The following is a 15,090-nucleotide window of genomic DNA, read 5'->3' as shown; positions in this document are numbered from 1 at the left end:
AATATCCAATTCCATTACAGAAAATCAAAGATACAAATAAAAGAGATGAAAATAAGTGCAGAGCAAACAGCGTGAGAAGTTAGACACAGAGAAAGTAAACAGGGCATCTGTATGGTAAACACAGGAAGGAATGAAAGCACTCATAACCACCAAATATTCACAAGACCAGAGGAGACACAAAATACTCATGAAGGTACTGATATTCATGAGGTATTAAATCAGCCAATCCAATTGGTAGTATCCATTTCTATACCTACAGGCCCCCCTGCCCAAGAAACACAGATGAAATCCACAGCTGCTCATCACGCTAACGGGCGGACAACAGGGTCAGGGAGGTCCCTGCGTTTCTCAGACAGGGCGAATGAGTGCTGGCCCCAGGCACCTTCAATCTGCTGAGCTGCCTTGTTCATCTTCAGCCACGGTCTGGAGGAAATGTTGATATAGCAGATAACACTGGACAAGAGGACATTGTAACCCAGCTCTGAGATGGTGTGTTCCCTCCATTCTACTCGTACCTGAGGTGCATGGAGAGGTAATCTCAAGAGAAGAAATAAACAGGACCAAATAAAAAGGTGAGGAAGTACAGAATGAACAGCGAATAGTTAGACTTTGGAATAAGAGTGCTGAAGTAAAGTAGTGACGAGCCTGATAAACGGAGGCGGGGCCAGAGCCCAGTACAGGAATTGAGACCAGCGCTTTTCAGACTATCTGTTGTGAAAGACCATCTTTTCTTCCCCTAGTGGGCCATGAACCAATTACTAGGGGGTAAAGGGGAGAAGGATACAAAACGTAAGCCCGGCCAGGCTCAGTGGCTCGTGCCTGTAATTCCAGCTACTAGGGAGGCTGAGGCAGGAAAATCACTTGAACCTGGGAGGCGGAGGTTGCAGGGAGCCGGGATCACACCACTGCACTCCAGGCTGGGAGACAGGGACTCCACCTCAAAAAAAAAAAAAAGCATGGAGGTGGAGTTCACAGTTTGCAGGACTGAGTAGATGTGGAAGGTAAAAGACAGTTATGAACCCACCTCCAGGTACAGGTCACTCTATGCTGATAACTGTCAGTAACAGATGGTGAGAGATAGAATACAGTGGGAGAAGGCAGAGGAAAGAAAAACAGCAACAGCAAAGTCGTGTTTAACTTCGTTTTTTGATTTGTGTGAAGGGCCAGTAAATCTGATAACTCTTAGCATATGGATCTGAAAAATTTCATCTTGCTAAATATAAGGAGTACATACATATAAGGTTATTAACAACTGCGTACTTGACTTATATGAAAGTTTACAACCATCTTTTAAGCTGTAATGAAAAGACACTTCTATTTAAAAAAACCCCAGTTAAAGGATATTATATTATACTGGATACCATTAAATTAATTAGATATAATACATATTGCAAAAATACTTTTGCCTATGATATTAGCAGACATCTCATAAAATTTTGCCTATAAAACATTTTTCATTTCTCCCTACAGAATCCAGCTCAGACATATGAATAAAAAATAATATAAACCAAGTACTAACGGGCTGCTGGTAAAGGGCATCTCCTAAGCTACTAACGTTTCTTCAAAGCCACAAAGAACACTTTATCAGCTATTTACTTATATTGCTTTTGTAAAAGTTTATAAGAAATGGAAAATGTAAAATGCAATGTCCTCTAGAACACATTAGGAGTTTGCAGCTGTAATGGAATGTTTTTAAGCAACCATGTGCTTTACAAGGACCCAGACTACGTTTCTAAAAGATTGGGATGGGCCGGGTGTGATGGCTCACGCCTGGAATCCCAGCACTTTGGGAGGCCAAGGTGGGCGGATCACCCGAGCTCAGGAGTTCGGGACCAGCCTGACCAACATGGAGAAACCCTGTCTCTACTAAAAATACAAAATCAGCCAGGCGTGGAGGCGCATGCCTGTAATTCCAGCTACTCGGGAGGCTGAGGCAGGAGAATTGCTTGAACCCGGGAGACAGGTTGCAGTGAGCCAAGATTGCGCCATTGCACTCCAGCCTGGGCAACAAAAGCAAAACTCCGTCTCAAAAAAAAAGATTGGTATGGGTAGAAAAAATACAGCATGGAGACACTGATGAAGTTTCATCCAATGTGGCTGTTACCATATCCATGTATGGGAATGGTTAAAGAAGAAAAGCATACAATTGCAATGAAAATACAGGACAGAAATAGCAACTAAAGACAGAAGATTATTACTCAAGGAAGTATCAGGATGTGAGTGGATATTTCGATGAATTACATTTTTTTTACATGCTATAAAGAAACCTTCAGGCTGGGCGTGGTGGCGCATGCCTGTAATCCCAGCACTTTGGGAAGCCAAGGTGGGGGGATCACTTGAGGTCAGGAGCTCAAGACCAGCCTGGCCAACATGGTGAAATCCCGTCTACTGAAAATACAAAAATTAGCCGGGTGTGGTGGCGCGCGCCTGTAATCCCAGTTACTCAGGAAGCTGAGGCGGGGCAATCGCTTGAACCCTGGGGGCAGAGGTTGCAGTGAGCTAAGATCATGATACTGCACTCTAGCCTGGGCAACAGAGTGAGACTGTCTCAAAAAAAAAGAAAAAAAAAGAAACCTTCAGAAAGACACCAATGTTCTCAAAATTAAATCCCCGTAAAATATGCTGAATCTTTAAAAGATAATTCAATTAGCATCAGCAATACAGAAGGGAGTAAAGAGATACCTCCTTTTTGCATGAAGCCAACCAAATATTTGAAGGTCTGCTATGAACAAAGTACTGTGGAAGTTAATAGAATCCATTTAGAAAGAAACGTCTGAAAATTCTGCTTCCAGTCCTCCTGAATAAGTCTTCTAATCAGAGAAGTGCAATTTCATAACTGTTCTTACCTTTCTCTCTGGTCTTTAAGGTATATTAAAAAAAAAGTATATTGGTAAATGGCAAAATAATGTCCAACTGTCTGTAATGAAATGATTAGGGATTATTTTTAGAATTTACTCAAAAGAGTACAGTATTTCATGCATTCATTTAATTTCTGACCACAAATACTTTAAATGCTACCTAACCCTTAATATTTATATGTCCAGAATGAAATCTACATACAGTTCTCAAAAAAAGGTACAAGAGATTATTTATTTAAAAAAAATCTAAGGAAACCATCAATAAAAGAGAAAACTGGTAATGTTACATCTTAATTTTTTAACCTTAGAAATTTAGTACAGTTTATTACCACTTTCAAGAAGATAAGCCCCGTCATTCGTAAGTACCAGAAGTTCCCTTTCAAAACAAGAACTAAGACTAGAGATAAGACAGAGCAGTAAGAAAGGAAGCTCTAATTTTGGAGTCATTCCCTTCTCAGTGCAAATACAGTTTTCTGATACTCGCCAGCTGTGAAATCTTAGTCAAATTAGTTCAACTCTATAAGCCTTTGTTTCTTTGCTGTAAGAATAAAATGAGACAATTTATGGGAAACTGCTAAAGTCATCCATAAAGATAAATTAAGAACATCCTTGTAAATAGTCTCCAGATGTCAACCGCTAGAAATTTTGTTTTATTTACTCTGCTGAGGACTCTGTGTGATTTTTATTTTTATTTATTTGAGACAGAGTCTCACTCTGTCGCCCAGGCTGGAGTGCAGTGGGGCAATCTTGGCTCACTGCAACCTCCGCCTCCCAGGTTCTAGTGATTCTCCTGCCTCAGCCTCCCAAGTAGCTGGAATTACAGGTGCCCACCATTTTTGCATTTTTAGAAGAGATGGAGTTTTACCATGTTTCCTGGGCTGGTCTTGAACTCCTGGGCTCAAGTGATCCTCCTGTTTTGGCCTCCCAAAGTGTTGGGATTACAGGTGTGAGCCACCTAGCCCAGCTACTGGCTATTTGTGAATCATGAATTTTCTAGTGATAGCAAGATGCATAGCACTAAGAGTTCAATAATCACATTTGTTGTCATCACTGAAACAGCATTGCTCCTTGGGAGGAAGAGCTTATAATAAGGTAGTGAAAAGCACACATGCAGAACCTAATGGGCAACAAGGCAGAATGAATACATACTTAACAGAAACAGGAAAGAGAAAAAGCTGACCAGGGATCTGCAAAGTCACAGGATGATAAATGGACACTCTCTGGTAACATCAATTCACTTCTAAAGGTGAGGATGGAAGAGAGATGCTAATTTTATGTTAACACAAACAGCTATTATAGAGCAGAATATACAAAATATAAAATTCCAAAAAATATTTAAGCTCAAATAAATCACTTTATAGAAATGTTTATGTTTAAGTCTATTGTGAGAAGTGACCGTAATACCAGAGTATGAGAATAACAAGACACATTTATATAGTGCTTACGCTTTGCCATGCATATAGTAACAATTCCTCACAACAGTCCTATTAGGTAGTTATTATTAGCACTAGCATTTTACAGACAAGCAATTTGAAGCACTAATAGGTAAAGCAACTCATCCAAAGTCAAACAGTTCTCAGAATTAGGACTCAACCTAGGCAGACTGGCTCCAGATTCTGTGCTGCTTGTGGTATGTAGGGCAGATTCCATAAGCAAGATGGAATTTGAGCTGGGGTTGAAGAGTTTGATAAGTTAGGAGGAGAAGGAGGAACAGAAATTGTAATAATACTATTTAGCCTTAGAAGAGGCCAATTATAATTTGAGGCAATAGTTTTTTTTTTTTTGAAACGGAGTCTCTCTGTTGCCTAGGCTGGAGTGCAGTGGCACGATATTGGCTCACTGCAACCTCCGCCTCCCGGGTTCAAGCAATTCTCCTGCCTCAGCCTCCCGAGTAGCTGGGACTACAGGCACGTGCCACCACACCCAGCTAATTTTTTGTATGTTTAGTAGAGACGGGGTTTCACCGTGTTAGCCAGGATGGTCTCGATCTCCTACCTCATGATCCGCCCACCTCAGCCTCCCAAAGTGCTGGGATTACAGGCGTGAGCCACCACGCCCAGCCGAAGGCAATGGTTAATACAGAATCCACACTGAAACATTTTCAGAGACCCATTTTTTAGAGCACGATAATTTTAGAGCTTATTTTAAAGCACTGTAACTTATTTGGTATTTAGTAGACACTGTCTCGAATTTGCTTATTTATTGTTTTAGAATTTTTCTCAAGTTATTTCATGCATATATATTATTTCCCATCTGGAATTCAAGTGCTTGAATGCTTGCAGCAGGAGAATGTGCCCATTACTTCTTTTACAATCCTCACCAAAACATAGCCCAGGCATATGAACGGTGTTTAATTAATGTTTGTTCAATTGAACTACAATACTAAAGTCTCTCACTACCTTTTACCCAAGGAAACAGATGTAGAAAAAAATGGTTATATCTCTAAAGATGATGTTTAAAATGTACTTAACAACAAAAAAACCACAAGTATTATCTGGTAGGAAACAGAAGAGGGAAACTTGAGAACAGAGGATATTTTTGTCAGTGAAAGATTAATACAGGGACGAGTCAGCAAAGTCCAAAAAAGAAGCATGAATTAGTAAAAACGCAAAGAAATGATAGGTGTGAGCCACCATGCACAGACTGTTTTAGTTCTTTTCTAAAGTGGGTATGAGATAAATGGAATTAGGCCAGGGTCAAATTTATTTTAACCTAGCCTTTCCACTTTTGTTTCTTCAACTACAATTTTACTTGAAAGGTTCACCTCACATTCTTGACTAGGTTTCTCGGCTACAGAAAAACATGAAAGAGAATTCTATGCCCATTAAAAAGGCAAAATGAAAATCTGTGAACTAAATGGGATAAAACTGGTTCCTGTAAGAATTATGACCACCTTTACCGAAATTTTTAAAACTCATTGTTTTACTAACAGGATGCTCCTGGAATTTTAAAGGTAAAGTCTGAACAACAGTAGAGTAACCTCAAATTCCAAGCACAAGTGAAGACAAACTTTGAGTAACAGCTACAAAAAGGTAGTACTTTAATCCAAAGTTCAGTTCAAAATAAACACAGAGGATAGTAGAGGGTCTAGAAAGAGAACCGGAATAAGGAGGTACCAGTAGGAAGAGGCTATAAAGGGAGTGACGCTGTGGTGGGGCGGTATGGAGGACAGGTGAGAACAACAAAGTCATAACAACAGGAAAACAGGGTTTGCTTGTACTGTTGAAATTTACTTCATGAGAAGTATCAGTTCTGAAGAACATTTTTAATCACAAAAGCATTTTCACCTGAATAATTCCTTTAGCACATGTTCTTTTCCCTACTGAAATGAAAGATGCCCATCTTAGTAATCTTCAAAACAGCCTATTAATTTGGCAATGTCCCGTCAAAAGCTAGAAAAGGGAGGGCAAGATGGTTCTAAAAACATAAAAACCTAATCCAATTTTTAAAAAATTTTAAGGTAAAAACATGTTAGAATGAGACTTCCAAATGTTTCCACTCTGGTGCTTGCCTGAAGTCTGAAGGCCAAGTTCCCATGGATTCCTACAGGCGAAATTAATCTCCTTTATCTTAAAGCACTGTGGATGTGGGTGGAGGGTAGGGGGTGGTAGCCAAGGGAAGGGGTAATAGGATAAAAAGAATTAAGAAATATAATTTGTGGCTGGGTGCGGTGGCTCACGCCTGTAACCCCAGCACTTTGGAAGGCTGAGGGGGGTGGATCACCTGAGGTCAGGAGTTAGAGACCAACCTGGCCAATATGGAAAAATCCCGTCTCTATTAAAAATACAAAAATGTGCCGCGCGTGGTAACATGCCTGCGGTCCCAGCTACTAAAGAGGCTGAGGCAGGAGAGTCACTTGAACCTGGGAGGCAGAGGTTCCAGTGAGTGGAGATCATACCACTGCACTCCAGCCTGGGTGACAGAGTGAGACTCCATCTCAGAAAAAAAAAAAAGGATGTAAAAACATAATTTTTATGTGCTTCTAACTCTAACACAATTAAACCAAAACAAATTTACGAATTATGACATGCAAAAAAAATCAATAAAGTTAAAATAATAGTCACTGAACACGATGCTGCTCTGTAAAAATTAAAGTTTTGTTCACTAGTGGAATACGGTATACACTGTGACTGCACGGTTATCATAGGCACGTGAGGATCCAACTCTCCCACCACCAATTACTGAGAAATCTTTGTTTCTTTTTTTTTTTTTTTTTTTGAGACGGAGTCTGGCTCTGTCGCCCAGGCTGGAGTGCAATGGCGCCATTTCGGCTCACTGCAAGCTCCACCTCCCGGGTTCAACCAATTCTCCTGCCTCAGCCTCCAGAGTATCTGGGATTACAGGCGCCCGCCACCATGCCTGGCTAATTTTTGCATTTTTAGTAGGGACACGGTTTCACCATGTTGGCCAGGCTGGTCTTGAATTCCTGACCTCAAGTGATCTGCTCGCCTCGGCCTCCCAAAGTGCTGGGATTACAGGCGTTACAGGCGCGAGCCACCGCGCCCAGAGAGCACTGAAATCTTATATGAGAATGTTGTTTTAAAGTGTCAGTATTGTTCTTGAATAAGCTTATATTATTTTTTATCATTGAAATAAAAATAGGGAATTTTTAAAAATGCTAATTACTTTTTTCCTCTTCCACTTCTCTGTATTTTACATATTTTCTATGATAAACTTGTATTTTTTCTAGTTGAGTTTCATGACACCTTTATCGACATATAATTCATATACCATACAATTCACCCACTTAAAATGCACAATTCAATAGCTTTTAGTATTCACAAATTGTACACAATCAATTCTAGAACATCTTATCACCCCGAAAAGATCCCCCCTGCCCTACATACCCACTAGCAGTGATTTCCCATTCTCCTGCACCCCCACCACAGCCCCAGGCAATCACTCAAACCACTCATGTACTTTCTGTCTCTATAGATTTACATATTCTGGACATTTCACGTAAATGGAATTATACAATATGCGGTCTATTGCAATTAGCTTCTTTCACTCAGCATGTTTTCAAGGGGTATCCATGTTGTACTATATACTGATACTTCATTTCTTTTTATTGCCAAAGAATCTTCCACTGTACAGATATACCACCTTTTATTTATCTATTCATCAGTTGATGGACATTTGGGCTGTTTCTACTTTTTGACTCCTGTGAATAATGCTGTTATAAACATTTGTGCACGTTTTTGTCTGAACACTTGACAAAAGGTCAGGAGGTCAGGAGTTCAAGACCAGCCTGGCCAACATGATGAAACCCCGTCTCTACTGAAAATACAAAAATTAGCCAGGCTTGGCGGCGGGTGCCTGTAATCCCAGCTACTCGGGAGGCTGAGGCGAGAATCACTTGAACCCGGGAGGTGGAGGCTGCAGTGAGCCAAGATCGTGCCACTGCACTCCAGCCTGGGCAACAGAGTGAGACTCTGTCTCAAAAATAAATAAATAAATAAATAAATAAATAAATAAATAAAATACTTGAGGAAGATTTGTTCAGATTTGTTCTTTGACTCACTATGACTTTCCTTCATAATCTATTAAATTATTTTTGTTTTAAATAAAATACTACTAAAAATGATGCTTTTACATAGGAATCCTTATAAAGCCATAGCTGCTTATAAGAGAGATTTAGGAAGGACATGCAATAACCAACCAAGTCAAACTGATGCTGTGGTTGTTGTCCTTTTTTGAGTAACATATTCCTTGAAAAATCTGATGAAAGTTGAGAATTCCCTCTGAAAAATACACGTATTGTGCTTTGGGAGGCCAAGGCTGGAGGATCGCTCCTGGAGGAGGCCAGGAGTTCTAGACCAGCTGGGGCAACACAGGGAGGCCCTATCTCTGCAAAAAGTTAAAAAAAAAAAATTAGACTGCATACCTGCAGTCCCAGCTACTAGGGAGGCTGAAGTGGGAGGATTGCTTGAGTCCAGGAGTTTGAGGCTGCACGGAGCTATAATCTTGCCACTGCATGGCAACCTGGGTGATAGTGCGACAAGCTGTCTCTAAAAAAAATTTTTTTTAAAGAAAAAGAAAAAACACGAATTTTTGAATAACCATGTTTTCCTCAAGTTAAAATTTATTTATCTTTTTAAAAAATCTTTGGAGCGGCTGGGAGCGGTGGCTCACGCCTGTAATCCCAACACTTTGGGAGGCCGAGGCGGGCGGATCACAAGGTAAGGAGATCGAGACCATCCTGGCTAACACGGTGAAATCCCGTCTCTAATAAAAATACAAAAAATTAGCCGGGCGCGGTGGCGGGTGCCTGTAGTCCCAGCCACTCCGGAGGCTGAGGCGGGAGAATGGCGTGAACCCAGGAGTAGTGGAGCTTGCAGTGAGCTGAGATCACGCCACTGCACTCCAGCCTGGGCAACAGAGCGAGACTCAGTTTTATTAAAAAACATCTTTGGAGCATTATTACTTCTGTAATCAAGAAGGAAAAAAGAGGCAAAGATGTGTACTTCTACCCCCCACCACTTCGAGTTTCTAATAAAATATGCCTATTCTGACCTGTCAGCTTTCCATGGAAAAAACTAAAAGGTGAGGGAAGGCAGAATAATCTATAGAGACATTCTGGGCACATTTTTTCACTTACACTGAAGAGCTGGAGGAAAATGGAAACTCTCCAGCAAAGGCTATACAAAGTACGTGGTTTTACACAAAGCGTTACACAAGTACATGGAAGCTTTAGTTACAAAACAGATATTCTTAGAATATGTTTCCTCAGCCCAGATAAGTGTTCCTGGAGCAGAAATTTTGCTCATAAGGTTTTTGCACTCGCAGCTGTTCTCTTTGAGGCTTCAGGGAAGGCAAGCCATGGACACACAGGTTAAAGCTCTGTTGGCATTCACCGGGCAATCCCTAGGTTTTCCCCAGCTATGCAGTGGAGACAGGAAGGATAAAAAGCCCGCAGGCATCAGAATGCACGAAACTATAACCAACCAAGAGGCCACCTGATATAATAAAAACTAACTTCTTGAATTAAATACTATTTTACTTTAGGTTATTTTGAAATACAGCTTTCTCTGGCTAGTGAAAAGATGAGCTTTGGTGAATATATGATCTAACAGATTAATTTTAAAACAAAAGTTCAAATGTAATGGTAATAAGACAATCTTCTTCCAAGTCACAAGACCTATATTACATGATTAAAGTAGGGAAGAGCAAGGGTATTACCTCTAATTTTGGCTCTTTACAGTGCTTATCCAATGCTACAGGTATAACTCTAACTGGCATGCCGAAGAACTCCACAACAAAATTTTTAAAATACTTGTAGCAAGAAGAATCTAGAGATTGCTGTGTAAATCATTTAAAATAAAGCCTGATGGCTGAATTTGAATTAAGATGCCAAAAATGGGTATCAATAATGACTTTTCCAGGAAACTACATTTCACAATATCATAACCAGTATAATTTGCACAAACGTCCACCCCTCTTTTCATGTGAGTTGACGCTGAGGGAGGAAATCCTGTTGGTTACATGAATCCTTGTAAGATCCAATTTAAGTAAACTTTTTCATGCTTCACAAGTGGAAAAAAAAATCTAAAATGTTAGTTGTTGTTTCATGAGGTAAAAACAAATAACTCAGGCCTGGTGCAGTGACTCACACCTGTAATCCCAGCACTTTGAGAGGCTGAAGTAGGCACTCTGCTCGAGCTCAGGAGTTCAAGACCACCCTAGGCAACATGGCGAAACCCTGCTTCTATTTTTCTAAAAAATTAATAATTAAAAAAACCACATATCACACACATAAATAAATAACTCCACTATTTATTATTCAATAAATAAAACATACATTTGGCTGGGAGTGGTGGCTCACGTCTATAATCCCAGTATTTTGGGAAGTCAAGGCAGGAGGATCACTTGAGCCCAGGAGTTCAGGACTAGCCTGGGCAAAACAGTGAGATCTCATCTCTAAATAACAAACCACACACATTTTCACAAAAATCCTTATTGAAAAATCTTAGGCAATGTTTTTCAGTTCATCTAAAAATTATTTTTAAGATTTAGTTGTATACTGGGAATAAAAGCTGCAGAAGAGAAAAATAATGAACAAGGACAATGCATACAAAAAATCAAAATATAAGCAGTATACTATCAAATACTCAAGGACAGCAGCATTTGATCTTATAAAGTTCCCAAATTTTTTAATAACTTATTTCAAAATCTATAATATAAAAAAGTATTTAATTCATTTATGTATGTATTTTTGAGACAGGGTCTTACTCTGTCACCCAGGCTGGAGTGCAGAGCACAGTGGTGCAGTCATGCTTCACTGCAGCCTTGACCTCCTGTGCTTAGGTGATCCTCCCACCTCAGCCTCCAGAGTAGCTAGGACTACAGGCGTGAGTCCCAGGCATGGCTGTGACTGGCCAAAAACCATTTTTAAAGGTTACTTTACCTTCATTCAAATTAGAAAACCACAGTCACCTAATTCACTGAGTTTTCAAAATGCAGCTAAGGTAGAAAAAATATGTGATTATTTAATCAGGTAGTGGCTCTCCAGAAAAAAACAGGGCAATTATTCTCATAAGAAAATTTAATACATATGCCAATTGCAAAATAATGTTAATTTCTATAATTGCCTAGATACTGTCAATTTAAATATCAAATGCCCAAATGTCAATGAAGGGTGACTAACCAGACAGTGTGGCACATGCCTATAGCCCCAGCTCAGGAGGCTACAGCAGGAGGATCACTTGAGCCCAGGAGTTCAAGGCTAATCTGGGCAACATAGTGAGACCTCATCTCTAAAATAAGTAAATAAATATGACAAAATTTACCATTTACTGTTTCAGAATTTTTCTTAATCTAAAAGGAAAAATCATCTTGATTTGTCAGTATTTTCATAGGCACACACTGTCTTTCCTTTCCACGTGGCTAATGATGATGAAAAACAGGAAGTCCTAAGAGACGGAAGGGTGGAGGGTATAATGGCAAAAAGTTTCCATCTCCAAAATGTTAAAGAGCAGGATCTCAAAACTAAGATAAAAACCATTTGGCCTGGCACAGTGGCTCACGCCTTTAATCCCAGCACTTTGGGAGGCTGAGGTGGGCGGATCACTTGAGGTCAGGAGTTTGAAACCAGCCTGGCCAACATAGTGAAACCCTGTCTCTACTAAAAATACAAAAAATTAGCTGGGTGTGGTGGCACACGCCTGTAATCTCAGCTACTTGGGAGGCTGAGGCAGGAGAATCACTTGAACCCAGGAGGTGGAGGTTGCAGTGAGCTGAGATCTCGTACCACTGCACTCCACCCTGGGCGACAGAGCAAGACTGTCTCAAAAAGGATAAAAACAATTTAAGAAATCTCAAGCTATTATAAGACTTCAGAATTCTGCTAATGATGTGTTCTTTAACGAATATTACAAACAATTATTTCAAATGCTTAAAAAACAAAATTATTCCCTGAGAGGATATATAATTTCCCCCATGAGAATGATTCCTACATAAAGGAAAGCCTGTATTCATGTGAATCTTGAAGGCCCTAAACTGGAAAGGTTACATAACAGTATCAAGACATACATATATTAAGTTAGAATTTCTCATTAAGCATATAATGCTTTTAAAGCCCAGTTAAACCTTATCAGGGCTTTTTAAAAACTGAAGATTACTGCACTATCAATTACTCTTCCTAAAATAACTACAATAAATTTGCTAAGACTCACTTGTAGAAACCAAGCAATGTATTTTCTCTTATCCAACTAAAAGGGTGCCAATAAACAGCTATCTAGTTTTAAATACAAACAAAAAACATTATTATTTTCTTATAGAACATCCACACATCTCTCACAGAACAAGTAACATCCAGTAACTATACCCCTTCCCCAATTCTGTCTTTGATCCTCTAACACTCCCCATAGTCCCTACATTGTGCCAGGTCTATCATGACTATATTTGACAGAGGGAGTTTGTTCACTGACCAGGTAATTTAAAATTTCTTCATACTATAAAGGTTGAGAAGAGGGCATGTTTCCTGTATTAAATTACACTGAATATTAATTAGGCCTTCAGGCTAATTTAGCTATTAATGTAGATATAACACACAGCAGCTAAAGTAGTATTTAGGGAAGTTTATTAGAGCACAGAGGTCAAGACAGGAACAATGATGGGTCTGACTGATCCCCATGGAGGTTAACTGGCTTTAGAGTTACCTTTGTTACAGCAGCTCTGAACCACTGACGGTTCTACGTAAATCACCACCCTTGTTGCAAAAACAACTTGAAGCACGTATGGAGACAGTATGTCAGTTGCTTTATATAAAAACTGCCATCTTTCCTTTTAAATTCCCCTAAACCACCATACACAAGTTAATCTTTTACTTTACTCAGGCTCCCAGCATTCTACAGCCATAAAACCTACTCTCTTCCTTTCTAAATTTTGCTCAAAGATTTGATCTTTCCCTTGGTAAGAAACACCATGATATAAAGAAGCACATTTATAAAACTCTTAGCCTTACCTGAAACTGACTCAGAAAATAACTCTGCAACAACAGGTACTCTACCTGTTCACAATAAAGTTCAATCTTCTTGAAGGTCCTCAAGTTCTCCCTACAATTTAGTCGACAGAAACTCATACTGTGCCTTGACACACTGTTGACGTGCAGATGTAAATAACTAGTAACAATGACACGCCAGGAAATGACTGAACACTATTCATCTTATGAGCCTCATTAAACAAGCATGGGGCTCAACGTTAACACAGTCAACACTAAGAGAAAGAGGCTGGGCATGGTGGCTACGCCTGTAATCTCAACACTTTGAGAGGTTGAGGTGGATCATTTGATCCCAGGAGTTCAGGGCTCCGGGACTGCCACTGCACTCCAGCCTGGGCAATAGAATGAGAATCTGTCTCAAAACAAACAAAACAAAACAAAAACACTAAAAGGAAGAGACTTAGAACTCTCTTCCTGCATAGAAACTTCTCAAATTAAATACCGCAGTACTTCAGGAAGAGGAGTTTTTAATTTACCCCACAGAATCAGACTCTCAGTGTAGGAAGACAGCTTAAAAATCATGTGACCATCCTATCATTTGTGCTGCTCAGTAAGGTAACATTTAGCTACATGTGACTGTTGAGCACTTGAAATGTGGCTTCTCCAAACTGAGATGTGCTGTAAGTATAAAATACCAGATTTTATAGATTTAGTATCAAATAATGTAAAATATCTCATTTTAAAAATTGATTTCATGTTAAAATAACATATATAAGATTAAATAAAATATACTACTAAAATTTTACCTGTTTCTTTTTACTTTCTTAATACCACTACTAGAAAATTTTAAATTACTTATATGGCTTGCATTGTATTTCTATTGAAGACTGCTGCTACAGACCTACAGCCTTAATTCTAACAGCAAGCAAGGACTATCACTTGGCATTTCCCAATTACAGTTGTCATTTAAAAGCCAAAAGAGGCTGGGTGTGGTGGCTCATGCCTGTAATACCAGTGTTTTGGGAGGCTGAGGTGGGAGGATTGCATGAGGCCAGGAATTTGAGACCAGCCTGGGCAACATAGCAAAACTCCGCCTTCACAAATAAATAAATATATTTAAATGTAAAAAGCAAGAAAAAAAGTATTTTAAAGGCGTGGTGGCTCACGCCTGTAATCCCAGCACTTTGAGAGGTGGAGGTCGGAGGATCACCTGAGGTCAAGACCACCCTGGCCAACATGGCGAAACTCCGTCTCTACTAAAAATACAAAAATTAGCTGGACATAGTAGCAGGAGCCTGTAATCCCAGCTACTCGGGAGGCTGAAGCAGGAGAAACTGCTTGAACCCGAAAAGCGGAGGTTGCAGTGAACCGAGATGGCACCAGCCTAGGCGACAGAGTAGACTCCATCTCAAAATTACTTCAAAAAGGCAAAAACAGCATAGGATAGAAAACCACACTTCTTAAGAAAAAAGATGGGAAATACTGCACACTAATCAAGTTTTTCTAATAAAGTATGTCTAAATCCTGATCATAAAGTTCATCTTTAAGGTGAAATCAACATTCTCAGCACCTGGGACCTCAGAAAAAAAATAAGATGTACAAAAATCTCTTATTATTCAAGTACCTTCAATTACAAACAAGTGAACCATCAACACTGTAAAAAGGGAATATTATAATGTAATTCTCTTTCCCAAAACCAAGAGAAAATAATAACACTCAAAAGCAAAATAAAAAATGACATCAGTTTTTCTAGGACTCAGTAGGCTAACTTTGGTCCACAAACATTATGAAATA

At 39.5% G+C, this 15,090-nt stretch overlaps 1 protein-coding gene across 8 annotated transcripts in view; it reads right to left on the bottom strand.

Moving 5' to 3' along the window:
* Nucleotides 1-15,090, bottom strand: part of CNST (consortin, connexin sorting protein) — a 102,140-nt gene that overhangs the window by 85,285 nt on the left and 1,765 nt on the right. For 2 of the 8 annotated variants that reach the window (XM_005273081.4, XM_047447913.1), the window contains exon 1: nt 13,321-13,442. The exons of 4 other annotated variants lie outside the window; for them this stretch is intronic. In XM_005273081.4, the coding sequence (XP_005273138.3) occupies nt 13,321-13,437 (117 nt within the window). In that variant the 5' untranslated portion in view covers nt 13,438-13,442. Of the gene's footprint in view, nt 1-382; nt 590-13,320; nt 13,443-15,090 lie in introns of those variants that run through there. 2 more of the 8 variants (XM_047447903.1, XM_011544110.4) reach the window with 2 other exon arrangements.

The sequence above is a fragment of the Homo sapiens genome, chromosome 1 (genome assembly GCF_000001405.40).
Source record: "Homo sapiens chromosome 1, GRCh38.p14 Primary Assembly".
Taxonomy (NCBI): domain Eukaryota; kingdom Metazoa; phylum Chordata; class Mammalia; order Primates; family Hominidae; genus Homo; species Homo sapiens.
Note: the sequence above shows the minus strand (reverse complement) of the source record. Positions and strands in the feature narration are given on the sequence as shown.